Source organism: Homo sapiens, chromosome 21, assembly GCF_000001405.40.
Source record: "Homo sapiens chromosome 21, GRCh38.p14 Primary Assembly".
In the NCBI taxonomy this organism is placed as follows: Eukaryota; Metazoa; Chordata; class Mammalia; order Primates; family Hominidae; genus Homo; species Homo sapiens.
In genome coordinates this window covers 32,478,405-32,492,711 of record NC_000021.9, presented here as the reverse complement: position 1 = coordinate 32,492,711, position 14,307 = coordinate 32,478,405, and the positions used below count along the sequence as shown (strand labels likewise).

At 45.5% G+C, this 14,307-nt stretch overlaps 1 protein-coding gene across 17 annotated transcripts in view, besides 1 other annotated feature; it reads right to left on the bottom strand.

The window, feature by feature from the left end:
- Positions 1-14,307, bottom strand: part of EVA1C (eva-1 homolog C) — a 103,665-nt gene that overhangs the window by 22,676 nt on the left and 66,682 nt on the right. The gene's annotated exons all lie outside the window — the stretch shown is intronic.
- Positions 1,271-1,780: an enhancer, noted in NCBI's record as "H3K4me1 hESC enhancer chr21:33863242-33863751 (GRCh37/hg19 assembly coordinates)". NCBI's record gives its function as "activates a minimal SCP1, AML or CMV promoter by ChIP-STARR-seq in primed H9 embryonic stem cells {active_cell/tissue: H9 hESC(primed)}" and the evidence as "EXISTENCE:reporter gene assay evidence [ECO:0000049][PMID:30033119]".

Below are 14,307 nucleotides of genomic sequence, written 5' to 3'. Positions count from 1 at the left end.
AACAAAAGAAAACTGTCCTGCATTTGAGGTGGGCCGAGATTTTGAAGAAAAGGCTCAAATCTGGAGATGCCTGTGGGGGGTTCATGCCCAGAGAGGCCAAGGGCTGGTGCTGTGAAGAAGCATAGGTCAGGGAGAGTATGAAGGCACAGGGGCAGGGACCCCAGCCACACAAAGTCCTGTGCATGTCTGCTCACGTCTTATAGATGACAAACTCCTCTACCCTCTAACAACAAAAACTGCTCTCCCCAGTTCCCAGGACCTCTCTCCAGACTTATGCTTTTCCTTCAGTCAGCCTTCTAGAAAGGATCTCTATGCCTCCCCTGCATCTCTCCTCCCATCCTGTATCCTCCCCTCCTCAATATGCCCCTGTCCCACACACACCCCGAAACTGATCCCTTTGAGGAGATCACATGGACTTATCACCATCCCATCCAAGAGATGAGGGGTGATCCTAATCCTTCCCTATCTCTGGAACTTCCGGTGCCTAAATGCCCCTATTGAGGGATTTCTCACTGACCTCAGCTCCCTGGTGCTCATCACCCTGGTGGTCTCTGATTCCTCTATCCTGGTGCCCTCTGCAGGCCTGCCCACCCAGAGTAAGCTCATTCCTGTGCCTGGTGGAAATTCTGATATATTTTTGAACAAGGGGCTTTGCATTTTCATTTTGCACAGGGCCCTGCAAAATGCACTGGGTCTGGGCTCTCTTCTCCTTTCTGCACACTCCATTCAGTCCCAAGTCCATCCCTGCCACTACCAAACCACTGAGAGCCGAGGCCAGGATCTCTGCCTTCAGCGCTGGCCACTCCGGCACTCCGCCATGTGCAATGATTGTCTTTACTCTTTCCAGCCACCTTTGACTCCACACGTCTGCACCTATCATCTCCTCCTACTCTCCTGCCATAGCCTCAGTTCCAGCCCTGTCAGTTTTGCAGCAAGTCTAGTAACTGGACTCCCTCCCTCCATTTTCTTCCCTTCAAATGGTTCTCTCTTTGCCCTCCACTGTGCTTTTTTTTTTTTTTTTTTTTTTTTTGACAGAGTCTCGCTCTGTCACCCAGTCTGGAGTGCAGTGGTGCAGTCTTGGCTCACTGCAATCTCTGCCTCCCAGGTTCAACCAATTCTCTTGCCCCAGCCGACCAAGTAGCTTACAGGCGCCTGCCACCATGCCCGGCTAATTTTTGTATTTTTAGTAGAGACGGGGTTTCACCATGTTGGCCAGGCTGGTCTCGAACTCCTGACCCCCGGTGATCCACCCGCCTCGGCCGCCCAAAGTGCTGGGATTACAGGCGTGAGCCACCGTGCCCGGCCCACTGTGCCCCTTCTAATCTCATCACTTCCTGCCTGCTTAAGATCCCCAACCCCCCATCTGACCAAGTCCGACTCCTCAGAACTGTGCACAAGGCCCCATATGACTTGCCTTTTCTACCTTCCTAGCTCCTTCACAGCCGTTATTCTCCCACCCCAGCCTGTGTCGCAGCCTGCAGGTCTCACTGCAGCCCCAGAAAGCCAGGCTGTGACTCTTGACATCTCTTTATCTTTGCACATGCTCCTCTGCCTGCTAGGAAATACTTCCTTCTCCCCTGTCTTCTCAGTTGTACCATCTCCCAGGCGGCAGTCAGTGGTTTCCTTCTCTCTGCCTCTCCTGTTCTGTGTATTGCTCTCACCTCATGGCTCTACTTATTTGCTCATTTGTCGCTATCCAGACTAGACAGGGAGCTCCTGCTCCCAGCACTTATGCTGGTCCTGATGCTCAGTAAATGCTCAAAGAATTATGGGACGAATGAACAAAGGGAAGGTTATAACCTCCATCCCTTCTGAAGCTCCTCCTTGGCTCTTGGAGCCTACTCCTGGTGCCTTTGCTAGCAGGCATTGGAGCTAGCTGCTCACGGGAAGAAAGTCTTGAAGTGGATTATCCAGGAGGAAAGGAGAAGGATTCACTAGCAGTGAGGTACATGAGTGCATGAGAACCCACAGCTGTGAGATTCAAGAAGGAGACTAAAATGGAACCAGAAGCAAGGGAAAAAAACACCATGGCTTCACATCCATGTTCATAGTGGCATATTCACAACAGCCAAGAGGTGGAAGCAACTCAAGTGTCCTTTGATGGATGAATGGATAAATAAAATGTGGTATATACATAGGATGGAGTATCATTCAGCCTTAAAAAGGACTCACTGGACTCCTTCCTTCCATTTTCTCCCCTTCAAATGGTTCTCTCCCCTTTGCCCTCCACTGTGGTCTTTCTAATCTCATCACTCCCTGCCTGCTTAAGATCCCCCACCACCCATCTGACCAAGTCCGACTCCTAAGAACTGACACATACTACAACTTGGATGAACCTTGAAGACATTATGCTAAGTGAAGTAAGCCAGTCACAAAAAGACAAATACTGTGTGATTCCACTTATATGATGGACCTAGAGTAGTGAAATCCACAGAGACAGAAAGTGGAATGGTGGGTGCCAGGAGCTAAGGGAGGGAGCAATGGGGAGTTGTTTTATGGGTTTTGAGTTGCGATTGTCAAGATGAAAAAATTCTGGAGATTGGTTGCACAACAATATGAATATACTTAACACGACCAAACTGTACACTTAGAAATGGTCAAGGTGGTAGGCCGGGCATGGTGGCTCATGTCTGTAATCCCAGCACTTTGGAAGGCCAAGGCAGGTGAATCGCCTGAGGTCAGGAGTTCAAGACCAGCCTGGCCAATGTGGTGAAACCCCATCTCTACTAAAAAAATACAAAAATTAGCCAGGCGCGGTGGCACACGCCTGTAATCCCAGTTACTCAGGAGGCTGAGGCAGAAGAATCACTTGAACCCAGGAGGCAGAGGTTGCGGTGAGCCGAGATCCCATTTACAATGGCATAAAAAATTACCTAGGAATAAATTTAACCAAAGAGGTGAAAGATCTGCACACAGAAATCTACACACACATTGATGAAAGAAATTGAGCAAGACACAGATAAATGAAAAGGTATCCCATGCTTATGGACTGGAAGAATTTATATGGTTACAGTGTTCATACTGCCCAAAGTGATCTACAGGCTCAATGCAATCCCTATAAAATTCCAACGACATTTTCCACAGAAATAGAAAAAACAATGCTGAAATTCATATGGAACTGCAAAAGACCATGAACAGCCAAAGCAATCTTGAGCAAAAATAACAAAACTGGAAGCATCACACTACTTACTCACAAAATCTACTACAAAGCTATAGTAATCAAAACAGTATGATACTGGCATAGAGGCAGACACATAGACTAATGGAACAGAATAGAAAGCCTAGAAATAAACCCAAGGATATACCATCAACTAACTTTTCAACAAGGGGGCCAAGAAGACATTAAGGGGAAAGGATAGTCTTTTCAATAAATGGTGTTGGGGTTTTGGAAAAATTAAATATCCACATGAAAAAGAATGAAATTGATCCCTATCTTCCACCATATGCAAAAATCAACACAAAATGGATTAAAGACCAAATATAAGACCGGAAACCATAAAACTCCTAGAAGAAATCCCAGGGGGAAAACTCCTTGACCTTGGTCTTGGCAATGATTTATTAGCTAGGACACCAAATGCAAAAATAAACACGTGGGACCACATCAAGCTAAAAAGCTTCTGCACAATAAAGGAAACAATCAACACAATGAAAAAGCAGCCTACAGATTGCGAGAAAATATTCTCAAAGCTTATATCTGATAAGGGGTTAATATTCAAATATATAAGGAACTTATACAACTCAACTGAAAAAAGCAAATAACTCAGTTAAAAAGTGGGCAAAGGACCTGGATAGACATTTCTCCAAGAAAGACATAAAAATGGCCAACAGGCCTGGCATGGTGCTCACGCCTATAATCCCAGCACTTTGGGAGGCCAAGGTGGGCGGATCACCTGGGGTCAGGAGTTCGAGACCAGCCTGGCCAACATGGTGAAACCCTGTCTCTACTAAAAACACAAATATTAGCCAGGTGTGGTGGCGTGTGCCTGTAATCCCAGCTACTAGGGAGGCTGAAGCAGGAGAATTGCTTGAACCGGGGAGGCGGAGGTTGCAGTGAGCTGAGATTGCACCACTGCACTCCAGCCTGGGCAACAGAGCAAGACTCCATCTCAAGAAAAAAAAAAAAAGGCCAACAGCTATATGGAAAGGTGCCCAACATCACTAATTGTCAGAGAAATGCAAATCAAAACCACAACAAGATACCATCTCACACCTGTTAGGGTGGTTTCTAATAAAAAGACAAGAAATAACAAGTGTTTGGAGAGGGTGTGGAGAAAAGGAAACCCATCTGCACTATTGGTGGGAATGTAGATTGGTGCAGGCATTATGGAAAAGAGCATGAAGGTTCCTAAAGAAATTAAAAATAGAGCTACTATATGACCCAGCAATCCCTCTTCTGGGTATAGACCTAAAGGAAATAATTCTCCATTTCCTGAAAATACCAACTGTGTGTCCTACAATTTATCTAAATTTTTATGTCTTTCTTGGAGAAATGTCTATTCAGGTCCTTTGCCCTCTTTTTAACTGAGTTATTTGCTTTTTACAGTTGAGTTGTATAAGTTCCTTGCATATTTGAATATTAACCCCTTATCAGATATAAGGTTTGAGAATATTTTCTTGCAATTAATCTCTGATGATGTCCTTTGATTGTTTATGCTGAAAACTTACACTGACTACCTGGAGTTAGTACAGATACCACAGGCTAAGGGCCCAGTCCCACAAGACTACCCCCCAGCCCCTCATCAGATGCCAATCGCAAGCCTGGGCCTCTGACTGACCACCTATAAATCAGGGGTTCTTCTTGGGTTCCAGAATTTGCAAGACTGGCTTACAGAACTCAGGAAAACAGTTTACTTACAAGATTATTAGTTATTATAAAAGGACACAACTCAGGAGGAGCCGAATGTTAGAGATGCACACGGCAAGGTTTGGGGACGGGGCATGGAGCTCCCATGCCCTTGCTGGGGGTTCTACTCTCTCTTTTTTTTTTTTTTTGAGATGGAGTCTCACTCTGTCCCCCAGACTGGAGGGCAATGGCGCGATTTTGGCTCATTGCAACCTCTGCCTCCTGGATTCGAGCAATTCTCTGTCTCAGCTTCCCGAGTAGCTGGGATTACAGGCGCCTGCCACCATGCCCAGCTAATTTTTTGTATTTTTAGTAGATATGGGTTTTCACCATGTTGGCCAGGCTGGTCTTGAACTTCTGACTTCAGGTGATCCACCTGCCTTGGCCTCCCAAAATACAGGGATGTGAGTCGCTGCCACTGGCCTAAAGGTTCTACCCACTGAGCATCTCCATGGAGTCCTTGAGCTGAAAGGTCTCTGAGCCCCATTGTTGAGGGCTTTTATGGAGGTCTCATGATATAGGCATGGTTGATTAAGTCATTGACCATTGGTGATGGACCCAACAACCTCCAGCCTCTCTCTCCAGCTTGGGGAGATAGGGGGTGGGTGTGAGGTTTAAGTTCCAGCCCTCTAGTCACATGATCCATTCCCTTGACAACCAGCCCCCCATCATTAGGGGCTTTCCAAAATTCATTCATCTACGTAAACTCAGGTGTGGTTAAAAGGAGCTAATTTTAATGAATAACAAAAGACGTTCCTTTCATCTTCATCATTCTGGAGCTATTTCAGGAGCCCAGGACAAAATCTAAATATTATAACAAAAGATGTTCTGATTGCACTTATAACTTAGGAAATTACAAAGGTTTTAGGATCTCTGGCCAGGAGCCAAATGAAGACAAAAATATATATTTCTTATTATATTACAATACCTCAACACCATTTTTATTAGCCAAAAAACTAAATAATACAGTTATTTAAAAGTATATGTGTAACATATTTGTATAAATACAAATCTCTACATAGCATTTACCACTGAAAGGGACAGGGCTAGGACAGAGGAGAAAAACATAAGTAGATCCAAGTTATTTGTAGGATTCTAGTTCTGTGGGGTGTAATGCACTATATTATTCTCCTTTTACAACCTACATAAGTGTTACACATATTATTTTGAGTATGTCAAATATATTAAAGAATTTAAAGGTAAAAATGGACTATTAAGGCCTTTTTTCCAAGAAAGTGTTTCTTCCAGAAATTTTAGGATTAAATGAGACCACAGATGTTGGCAGCAAGGAATCAGCTAATAATAGCATTATAGGAAATTTAAAAATATAGATTGGTGGGCATTTAGAGTCAGAAATACCTCACAGGGGCATAGAGGAAGCAGTAATACCTGGTAAAAACTTGAACACAGAGAGAGGGAGAAGTTAGTCAAGAACAACAGTAAGGGCCGGGTGCGGTGGCTCACGCCTGTAATCCCAGCACTTTGCGGGGCTGAGGCAGGCAGATCACCTGAGGTCAGGAGTTCAAGACCAGCCTGGCCAACATGTTGAAACCCCCATCTCTACTAAAAATACAAAAATTAACTGGGTGTGGTGGCACACACCTGTAGTCCCAGCTACTTGGGAGGTTGAGGCAGGAGAATCGCTTGAACCTGGGAAGTGGAGGTTGCAGTAAGCCAAGATCATGCCACTGCACTCCAGCCTGGGCAACAAGAGTGAAACTCCTTCTCAAGAAAGAAAAAAAAGAACAACAGTAAGATCAATAGCTCCGCATCCACTCTTTCTTCCTTTGTCTGCTCATGGCGATTGGTTCAAACAATGCTGCCAGAGCCAACTTCTAAAAGTATATCTCTGATGATGTCCTTTGACTGTTTATGCCGAAACCTTACAAGGTGGAAGAGGCCTGGATCCCTGGGTCACTGGAAGCGAGCTGCCTAGGAAAACCACCCAAGCCTCACTGGACTGTGATATGACCAAGAAATAAACCTTTACTGGGTTAAGCCACTGAGTGGCTGTAACAGTTACATTAATTGCCCTGACAAATGCAGAAGGCTTGGCAAGGCTATGTAACTTGACTTAGGTCTCAGTGTTTGGTGGTAGTGTGTGCCCTAGAACCTCAATCCAGTTGACATTAAAGACTGTGCCCTTAAACATAATGTCTCCACTTAGACAAGAGTGGGAAAAGGTATTGCGAGAATCAGGAACTCAAACAATTTGGCAAGAGAGAGAAGACAAGTCTGGGCCATGGTGAACAAGAAATTAAGGAATCTAGATTCTGAGTCTGCTTGAGGAGCCGGCCCATGAGGAGCCAGGACAAGGGGATTAGAGAGAGAAGGTTCTTAAGGAGAGAAGAAACCTATGGGCTCCATGAAAGAAGAAAAACAAAATGAAAAAAATAAAAAGGGAGTGGCCAGGCACGGTGGCTCACGCCTGTAATCCCAGCACTTTGGAAGGCGGGTGGATCACCTGAGGTCAGGAGTTCGAGACCAGCCTGGCCAACATGGCGAAACCTCACCTCTACTAAAAATACAAAAAATTAGCCAGGTGTGGTGGTGCACGCCTGTAATCCTAGCCACTCTGGAGAGTCGCTTGAACCTGGGAAGTGGAGGCTGCAGTGAGGCGAGATTGCGCCATTGCACTCCAGCCTGTGTGACAGAGTGAGACTATTTCAAAAAAAAAGAGAGTGATCAACATCAGGTGAGTTTCAGGTGTGCAAGACCAGTTGCAGCATCTGAAAGACGTGGCCCTCTTGGAGGAAAACAAGAGGGTGGACAGTCAGGGGAGGAGAATGTCAACTACAGAGGAAGACGCATGCGTCTAATATGTTTGACGCTTCTAGAATGGGCCAAGGGAGAGTGTGGGTTGGGCTCTGGAAGGATTTGGAAGGGAGAACACATTAACAATGCTTGTGCAGTAAAAAAAAAAATCGGCAAACAAGGAAGTTTCTGTGGTCTGGCACAGGCCAGCCCCTCCCTGTGGGTGAGTGGGGACGTAATGGCTATGGAGATGGCAGAGGCCGGAACTTCCTCCAGTGGCGTGGCTGCTCGGCGGACAGACAGAAGCACACACAGTGGGTGGGGGTGAGTCGAGGGAGCTCACTGGGTCTTAGGGAGGCCAAAGGTGCCTGTCCAGAAGAGAGATTAGGGTAGAAATCACAGACCAACACATCTGCTGAGAAAAAGGGGCCAGAGAAAGAAGCAAGAGTCTCTAAGTAGGGGAGGAATTCACAGCCCAGGTAACTTAAAAGGTTGACAGAACCCCGGGTGACACATGTGAGTTGCATGAGTTAGCACAGTGTCCGCCCCAATAAATTTTTTTTTTTTTTTTGAGATGGAGTCTCTCTTTGTCGCCCAGGCTGGAGCGCATTGGCATGATCTCGGCTCACTGCAACCTCCGCCTCCTGGGTTCAAGCAATTCTCCTGCCTCAGCCTCCCAAGTAGCTGGGATTACAGGCACACGCCACTGCGCCTGGCTAATTTTTGTAATTTTAGTAGAGATGGGGTTTCACCATCTTGGTCAGGCTGGTCTCCAGCCCTTGACCCTAAGGTGATCCACCCACCTCGGCCTCCCAAAGTGCTGGGATTACAGGTGTCAGCCACTGCGCCTGGTCCACCCCAAGAAATATTAAATGGTAGTTCCTTCTGCAAGAGCATCAACATCGAACTATGTTCCAGGGAACCCTGGGGTTTGGAGGAGGTACCCTGGGGACTGGGCAGGTAGAGGAAAGTAGGAAGCTCATGTCTCAGGGAAACTCTTCTACTCATTGGAGAACCGTGAAGGGGTCCAGTTGAAAGGAATGATCTATGGCTAACCACTAAAAAATTGGAAAGTCAATGCCCTTGAGGGAAGGACAATTTAAATATATTTAAATACACACACACACACACACACACACACACACACACACATAAACAGTGAGGAACATTATCATAAAAGCACTTGATTTGAATATATTCATGAAGGACGTCTACGGCCATACCACCCTGAATGCACCTGATCTCGTCTTATATCCATGAAGGTTCGGACTTATTTTGCTAAGGTACCATTCCACAAGCCTGATAAAAAGAATCAGGTGCTGGGCACACAGTAGGCACTCAACAATTAAGTGCTTAATGAATGAATTCATGGTCTGAAATGGACAGCCTGGAACATGACATAATGCAAACATCCCACATCTCTGGCTTTAGAATGTGTTATTTTGTAGGGGTGCCTGATCTGTGAGATCGAATCTATGCTGAGAAAGGATGCTCCAAGGGCATTAGGAAGCAGTGAAGCTGCCATCCTTCTGTCTGGTTCCTGGATCAGCTCTTCCCAGCCACTCACTAGGGGCTTGGAATAAATCCATCTTTCCCCTGACTGCCTGGGAGTGGAGTACTCCAGTCTAAAGGAGTGGCTTGCTGGAGCTACTCTGGCGGGTCTTCATGAATGAAGAGTAAACACAGCAAGTCAAGAAGTCTATTGAGCTTTAAGAGAATGTTTTAAGTGCCTGTCTATACCAAATGCCAGAAACGTCAAGTCTGTCTTTGTGAAGGGCAAGTTTAGCTCAACCAGTATAGCAGGAATAGTCACTGCTGCACATTCGGGCGCCAGACAGGCCACCCACATTCAAATCAGGGCTTAATAAATAGACCATTTGCAAAGGTGGGAATGGGATGAGGACATGGCACACCCAAAGGATGGTGCAGAACCCCAGGGGTAGGAATGGCAGGGAGGGCCGGGCGTGGTGGCTCATCCCTGTAATCCCAACATTTTGGGAGGCTGAGGTGAGAGGATTGCTTGAACTCAGGAGTTCAAGATCAGCCTGGGCAACAAAACTAGACCTCGTCTCTACTGAAAACAAAATTAAAAGTAGCTGGGCATGATGGTGTGCGCCTGTAGTCCCAGCTACTTGGGTGGCTGAGACAGGAGGATCGCTTGAGTTGGAAGATTGAGGCTGCAGTGAGCTATGATCGTGCCATTGCACTCCAGCCTGGGCAACAACAAGACTCTGTCTCCAAAAAAAAAAAAAAAAAAAAAGGGAATAACACTGGGATGTGACCACCCCCAAACCCTGAAGGGGGCAGGACAGTGGTTCCAGAACACAAGAGGGTGAAGTTCCGTGAACAGGGCTGCTGAATGGAGCAGGACCCTTCAGAGGAGAGTGGCAATGCTTCTGCTGTGCTGTGTTCATTGTTTGTGCCTGGATCTCCCATTGGGCTGACAGCTGCTGGGGTTCGAGGCATGTGGGTCTCATGGATTAACACAGTGTCCGACTCAATAAATATTAAATGGTAGTTCCTTCTGCAAGAGCACCAACATCAAATTATGTTCCAGGGAGCCCTGGGCTTCCGAGGAGGTACCCCAGGGACTGGGCAGGTAGGGGAAGGCAGGAAGCTCATGTCTCAGGGAAACTCTTCTACTCATTGGAGAACCGTGAAGGGGTTCAGTTCTTCTGTGAAGAGGGTGAGCTCACTACTGTTTGCCCAGCACTTGGTATCTGATAAACTCACTGAGACTCAGTTTCCCTCCTGTGTAGCATGAGGAATATCTTTTTTCACTGTATCTCTATGAGGTCTGTACGAGGCAACTGCAGAAGGTAAGCCCACAAAAACATTTGCTGTTCTCCTCAGCTGTCTCTAAGCTTGTGTGAAAAATCTGTGTTTAAGGTCCCGGAAGACCATCTGTGGCAGCTGTGGGCAGCAGAACAGAGCAGCGGCAAAAAGTGTGACCTTGCTAAGCCTCAGTTTCCTCACTCGGACAAAGAAACTCCTGGGAGCTGGCTCCTGGGATGATGTGATTGTTAAAAAGGCAGTGGTGTGGGCAGTGGGAACAATGCCAGCGCCCTCGCATGTGAATCAGCATTATCATCATCAGGGCACCTAACGTCAGGTAGGAAATGGTACTTTAGGAAAAGGCCTTTGGGACTTCGTCAATTTAGAGTCTAAATTACATGCTCTCTTTGCTCCCTTGAAGTGAAAACAAGCATCTATGGTACAGCGTGGTATGAACTAAATATTCAGGCCCCAAATCTGCATATAGGAAATAAAAAAAGATTGGCAGGAGAATCACCAAGATGGTATTTTTGGCTGGTTGAAAAAAGGTGTTTTATTCTCCCTTATCGATTTTAAGGTACGTTTCAAGCTTTTGTGACTTAACAATGCTTTGAAATGAAAGTATCGAATGATCTTTCTTTAAAAGGAGAATGAAATTTATGTCTAAATAGAAGACAGTTTTTGAACAGTGAGAGTCTTAGAGGCATTTTTTTCAGAATATTTTAATAAACTCTTTTTTTAATATAACTTAATTTGTCCCAGAGGTCATGAAAAGTTTATCTAGGAGTAAAGACATATCCTTTAACTTTTCTTCTAGTTTTTTTTTTTTTCTTGTGGCTGCACGGGGTTGACTGAGGATATTTTTGTTGTCTTTAAGAGCTTTGTTTTATTTGGGGTTTTGAGCTGAGCACATTTACCAGTCAAAAAAAAAAAAAAAAGGTTCTGTTTCTTCTCTACTAAACCACAATCCTTATATGTAAGTGGCCTAAAACTAGCCCCTTCTTCACTGAATTCCTCTCCCTAAGTAGAAAAAACCTTAAGTTTCAAAAGAACATAGAATGGAATATATGATTTCTGTATAAGCTACCTGCATTGGGAACAAATAGTCTGAATTGTGAAATTTATCTTAGAAGTCTAACGTTTCCAAACATAAGTAGTATCGTTTTTTCCTGTTACAAAGTAAATACATGTTCACATTTTAGAAGTACAGAGAGGCCCAAAACTGGGGGAAAAAGCCCTAGTAAATCCCACCATCAAGAAAAAAAGCTATTAACCTTTAAAGAATATCTTCCTAGTCACTTTTCTGTGTGTAAATGTTCTTCCCTCTCAATGGAATCATACATAATTTTATTTTATTTTTATTTATTTTTTTTTTTTTGAGACGGCACTTGCTCTGTTGCCCAGGCTGGTGTGCAGTGGCACGATCTCAGCACACTGCGACCTCTGCCTCCCGGGTTCAAGTTATTCTCCTGCCTCAGCCTCCTGAGTAGCTGGGATTACAGGCATCTGCCACCATGACCAGCTAATTTTTGTATTTTTAGTAGAGACGAGGTTTCACCATGTTAGCCAGGCTGGTCTCAAACTCCTGACCTCAGGTGATCCACCCATCTTGGCTTCCCAAAGTGCTGGGATTATAGGCGTGAGCCACTGTGTCCGGCAAAAAAAGTTTTTTGAGACAAGGTCTTGCTCTATTGCCCAGGCTAGAGTGCAGTGGCGCAGACACGGTTCACTGCAGCCTTGACTCCCTGGCCTTAAGCAATCCTCCCACGTTAGCCTCCCGAGTAGCTGGGACTATGCTATCCATGGCTCTGTCACCTAGCCTGGGACATGCCACCACATCCAGCTAATTTTTGTATTGTTTGTAGAGATGGGGTTTTGCCATGTTGCTCAGGCTGGAATCACATACATACTACTTTGTATGCTACACTTTCCCATTTACTAGTATATTTGTGAACATTTTAAATAAGCAATATTTTAAAGAGTTGTATTGTCTTTCATTTTATGAATGTACCAACTCGGTACCTTTTTTTTTTTTTTAAGAGACAGGGCCTTGCTCTGTCAACCAGGCTGGAATGTAGTGGCACGATTATTGCTCACCACAGCCTCCAACTCCTGGGCTCAAGTGATCCTCCCACCTTAGCCTCCTGTGTAAGAATCCAACCCTATTTATAATACTCTTTTGTCAGACATTCAGATGATTTCTATTTTTTAATATTATAAGCAGTGCTATGTAGAATAATCTTACAGCTGAACATTTGCAAACAAGTATGATATTTCCATAGGAATTATTGGAAGTAGGTTGCTTTGTTAAAGGGTATTCCAAACATCAAGGCTTTTAATACATACTGCCAAACTTATCCAGAAAAAGTTTACCAAGGCATGCAGCTGCAAAAATTCTATGAGAGCACCCTGGGAAACCTATATTTTCTTAGTTTTAAGGATATATGCCTGACCATATTCCTTAAGGCTAACAGAAGAAGAAAAAAAAAAAAGAGTAGCTGGGACTACAGGTATGTGCCACCATGCCTGGCTAAATTTTTAAATTTTTTTTGTAGATATAGGGGTCTCACTATGTTGCCCAGGCTGGTCTTGAACTCCTGGCCTCAAGTGATCCTCCCACCTTGGCCTCCCAAAGTGCTGGGATCACAGGAAAGAACCACTGCACTGGGTTGCTTTTGCACTTTTCAGTTACTCTGGGAGTGCAAGAATTTATTTTAGTGAGAGTGAAAGAACCCACAGGAAGAGGCCCAAGACAACTCAGGTCTGATTCAGGTCTGACTGTATCTTTGTTGACACTGAGCTCTGAATGGTTCGCAGGATTCTGTTGTTGTTGTTGTTGTTAGTGGTTATTTCCCTCCAAGGCTGATTTTATTTGCACCTTCTGCTGCTTCTTTTTTCTGGGGGGTTGGGGAGGGCAGGGACAGAGTCTTGCTCTGTTGCCCAGGCTGGAGTGCAGTGGCACGATCTCAGCTCACTGCAATCTCCGCCTCCCAGGTTCAAGTGATTCTCCTGCCTCAGCCTCCCGAGTAGCTAGGATTACAGACATGCGCCACCATGCCCAGTTAAATTTTTTATATTTTTAGTAGAGATGGGGTTTCCCCATGTTGACCAAGCTGGTCTCGAACTCCTGACCTCAAGCAATCCACTCGCCTCAGCCTCCCAAAGTGTTGGGATTACAGGCGTGAGCCACCGCTCCCAGCCTGCACCTTCTGTTTCTGGCAAACTGCCCTCCACCCCCAATACATGTGATAACAAGATATTCAACCATTTACATTTTTACTTTTTGGCTATTACTTAACAGTGAAACTGAAGTTAATTACTCCTTCCAACCTGTGTTTATTTAGATAATAAGGCTGGCTGCTTAAGTGCCGCTGTCTTGGCAGTGGGAACCTCTGGCACCTCGATCTTTGGCTGAAAAGTCCAGGCCTGCCCACACTTGGCCTCGGAGTGGCCTTAGCCCAGCCTTTGAGGCCTATTGTGTGGTTTTTCTCATCTTCTTATTAAGGAAATAGCAGAATCCCTGGAGCTCACCCGGAAAATGTAAACCACAGCGGGAAATTATGCACCACAGTGGATGCCCAGACAGGGGGCACATTCTGAAGCCTGGCGGCCTCAGGCCCAGCCTTCGGGAAAAGCTCACTCCTGTCTCATGTGAAAATGCTGTTTTGCTGGTGTTCATTGGTCACCAGTGATGGTCACTTTCATGTCTTCCTTTCAGTTTCTCTTCTGCCGGATGAGGCATAAATTCTGATGGACCCCACCTGCTGTAAGATCTTTCAGAAAAGACTTTGGGTCAGTCTCCTTCAAGATTAGACATCAGGCTGGGCACGGTGGCTCATGCCTGAAATCCCAGCACTTTGGGAGGCCGAGGCAGGAGGATCACCTGAGGTCAGGAGTTCGAGACCAGCCTGACCAACATGGTGAAACCCCGTCTT